Source organism: Homo sapiens, chromosome 4 (genome assembly GCF_000001405.40).
Source record: "Homo sapiens chromosome 4, GRCh38.p14 Primary Assembly".
NCBI classification, from domain to species: domain Eukaryota; kingdom Metazoa; phylum Chordata; class Mammalia; order Primates; family Hominidae; genus Homo; species Homo sapiens.
The window spans coordinates 141,365,226-141,369,363 of NC_000004.12; positions in this window are offsets into that span (position 1 = coordinate 141,365,226).

The following is a 4,138-nucleotide window of genomic DNA, read 5'->3' on the forward strand; positions in this document are numbered from 1 at the left end:
TCTGTGGGATCAGTGGTGATATCCCCTTTATCATTTTTTATTGCATCTATTTGATTCTTCTCTCTTTTCTTCTTTATTAGTCTTGCTAGTGGTCTATAAATTTTGTTGATCCTTCCAAAAAACCAGCTCCTGGATTCACTGATTTTTTGAAGGGGTTTTTGTGTCTCTATCTCCTTCAGTTCTGCTCTGATCTTAGTTATTTCTTGCCTTCTGCTAGCTTTTGAATGTATTTGCTCTTGCTTCTCTAGTGCTTTTAATTGTGATGTTAGGGTGTCAATTTTGGATCTTTCCTGCTTTCTCTTGTGGGCATTTAGTGCTATAAATGTCCCTCTACACACTGCTTTAAATGTGTGCCAGAGATTCCAGTATGTTGTGTCTTTGTTGTCATTGGTTTCAAAGAACATCTTTATTTCTGCCTTCATTTTGTTATGTACCCAGTAGTCATTCAGGAGCAGGTTGTTCAGTTTCCATGTAGTTGGGCAGTTTTGAGTGAGTTTCTTAATCTTGAGTTCTAGTTTGATTGCACTGTGGTCTGAGAGACAGTTAGTTATAATTTCTATTCTTTTACACTTGGTGTGGAGTGCTTTACTTCCAACTATGTGGTCAGTTTTGGAATAAGTGCGAAGTCGTGCTGAGAAGAATTGTATTGTGTTGATTTGAGGTGGGGAGTTCTGTAGATGTCTATTAGGTCCGCTTGGTGCAGAGCTGAGTTCAATTCCTGGATATCCTTATTAACTTTCTGTCTCATTGATCTGTCTAATGTTGACAGTGGGGTGTTAAGTTCTCCCATTATTATTGTGTGGGAGTCTAAGTCTCTTTGTAGGTCTCTAAGGACTTGCTTTATGAATCTGGATGCTGCTGTATTGGGTGCATATATATTTAGGATAGTTAGCTCTTCTTGTTGAATTGATCCCTTTACCATTATGTAATGGCCTTCTTTGTCTCCTTTGATCTTTGTTGGTTTAAAGTCTTTTTTGTCAGAGATTAGGATTGCCACCCTTGCCTTTTTTTGTTTTCCATTTGCTTGGTAGATCTTCCTCCATCCCTTTATTTTGAGCCTATGTGTGTGTCTGCACGTGAGATGGGTCTCCTGAATACAGCACACTGATGGGTCCTTACTCTTTATCCAATTTGCCAGTCTGTGTCTTTTAATTGGAGCATTTAGCCCATTTACATTTAAGGTTAATATTGTTATGTATGAATTTGATCCTGTCATTATGATGTTAGCTGGTTATTTTGCTCATTAGTTGATGCAGTTTCTTCTTTACAATTTGACATGTTTTTGCAGTGGCTGGTACCGGTTGTTCCTTTCCATGTTTAGTGCTTCCTTCAGGAGCTCTTGTAGGGCAGGCCTGGTGGTGACAAAATCTCTCAGCATTTGCTTGTCTGTAAAGGATTTTATTTCTCCTTCACTTATGAAGCTTAGTTTGGCTGGATATGAAATTCTGGGTTGAAAATTCTTTTCTTTAAGAATGTTGAAGCCGGGCGCGGTGGCTCACGCCTGTAATCCCAGCACTTCGGGAAGCTGAGGCGGGTGGATCACGAGGTCAGGAGATCAAGACCATCCTGGCTAACACGGTGAAACCCCGTCTCTAATAAAAATACAAAAAATTAGCCGGGCGTGGTAGCAGGCGCCTGTAGTCCCAGCTACTTGGGAGGCTGAGGCAGGAGAATGGTGTGAACCCAGGAGGCGGAGCTTGCAGTGAGCCGAGATTGCGCCACTGCACTCCAGCCTGGGCGACAGAGCGAGACTCCGTCTCAAAAAAAAAAAAAAAAAAAAAAAAGAATGTTGAATATTGGCCCCCACTCTCTTCTGGCTTGTAGTGTTTCTGCCAAGAGATCAGCTGTTAGTCTGATGGACTTCCCTTTGAGGGTAACTCGACCTTTCTCTCTGGCTGCCCTTAACATTTTTTCCTTTATTTCAACTTTGGTGAATCTGATAATGACGTGTCTTGGGGGAGCTCTTCTCAAGGAGTATCTTTGTGGCATTCTCTGTATTTCCTGAATTTGAATGTTGGCCTCCTTTGCAAGGTTGGAGAAGTTCTTCTGGATAATATCCTGCAGAGTGTTTTCCAACTTGGTTCCATTCTCACCGTCTCTTTCAGGTACACCGATCAGATGTAGAATTGGTCTTTTCACATCGTCCCATATTTCTTGGAGGCTTTTTTCATTTCTTTTTACTCTTTTTTCTCTAAACTTCTCTTCTTGCTTCATTTCATTCATTTGATCTTCAATCACTGATACCCTTTCTTCCAGTTGATCGAATTGGCTACTGAAGCTTTTGCATTCATCACGTAGTTCTCGTGCCATGGTTTTCAGCTCCATCAGGTCATTTAAAGACTTCTCTACACTGGTTATTCTAGTTAGCCATTTGTCTAATCTTTTTTCGAGGTTTTTAGCTTCCTTGCAATGGGTTGAAACTTCCTCCTTTAGCTCGGAGAAGTTTGTTATTACCGATCGTCTGAAGCCTTCTTCTCTCAACTCATCAAAGCCATTCTCCATCCAGCTTTGTTCCATTGCTGGCGAGGAGCTGCTTTCCTTTGGAGGGGGAGAGGCACTCTGCTTTTTAGAATTTTCAGCTTTTCTGCTCTGTTTTTTCCCCATCTTTGTGGTCTTGTCTACCTTTGGTCTTTGAGGACGGTGACGTACAGACGGGATTTTGGTGTGGATGCCCTTTCTGTTTGTTAGTTTTCCTTCTAACAGTCAGGACCCTGAGCTGCAGGTCTGTTGGAGTTTGCTGCAGGTCCACTCCAGACCCTGTTTGCCTGGGTATCAGCAATGGAGGCTGCAGAACAGTGAATATTGCTGAACAGCAAATGTTGCTGCCTGATTGTTCCTCTGGAAGCTTCATCTAAGAGGGGTACCCGGTCATGTGAGGTGTCAGCCTGCCCCTATTGGGGGGTGCCTCCCAGTTATGCTACTCAGGGGTCAAGGGACCCACTTGAAGAGGCAGTCTGTCCATTCTCAGATCTCAAACTCTGTGATGGGAGAACCACTACTCTCTTCAAAGCTGTCAGACAGGGACATTTAAGTCTGCAGAGGTTTCTGCTGCCTTTTGTTTAGCTATGCCCTGCCCCCAGAAGTGGAGTCTACAGTGGCAGGCAGGCTTCCTTGAGCTGTGGTGGGCTCCACCCAGTTCTAGCTTCCCAGCCATTTTGTTTACCTACTCAAGCCTCAGCAATGGCAGGCGCCCCTCCCCCAGCCTTGCTGCCACCTTGCAGTTCGATCTCAGACTGCTGTGCTAGCAATGGGCAGGGCTCCATGGGCATGGGACCCTCTGAGACAGACATGGGATATAATCTCCTGGTGTGCCCTTTGCTAAGACCATTGGAAAAGCGCATTATTAGGGTAGGATTGACCTGATTTTCCAGGTGCCATCTGTCACCACTTCCCTTGGCTAGGAAAAGGAATTCCCTGACCCCTTGCACTTCCCGGGTGAGGTGATGCCTCATCCTGCTTTGGCTCATGCTCAGTGGCCTGCACCCACTGTACTGCCCCCACTGTCCGACAAACCCCAGTGAGATGAACCCAGTACCTCATTTGGAAATGCAGAAATCACCTGTCTTCTACGTTGCTCATGCTGGGAACTGTAGACTGGAGCTGTTCCTATTTGGCCATCTTGGAACCCCCCTCCACCCCGGTCTCCTTTTTATTATCACCAGCAATTCTGAACAACACCGGTGATTAAATACTTCCCCTCTTTGCTGTGGTGGAACACTCCTACTGTCTCCCTCACCTTTTGGGATAGTACTGTTACTCTTTAAGATGGATAGTTTGGACTAAAGACAAAATGCATGAGGTGAGGAGTCAGTGGGCACAAGTATGAGTGGCCCTGCTTACCATTAGTCCTAGTAATGCACTTGGATGATTTGCTTCCCATCACTGCAACTGCAGCCTCTGTCAGTCTAGAGATTCTAAAGTCAAGTGGAAAGATTTTTCTACTAGAGTATACAGTAAGGTTTCACTACACTAAAATTTAGCTACCACCCAGTCACTTTGGCTCTTCCTGCCAGTTGACCAGCAATTGCTGAGTAATTGACTTGACTATCAAGAGGAGTGGGCAGGCAGGAGTATTCCTAAAAACCAGAAACTCTACCAGGACTCCACTTGATACTTCCATGTCCAGTAATAGCTGTAA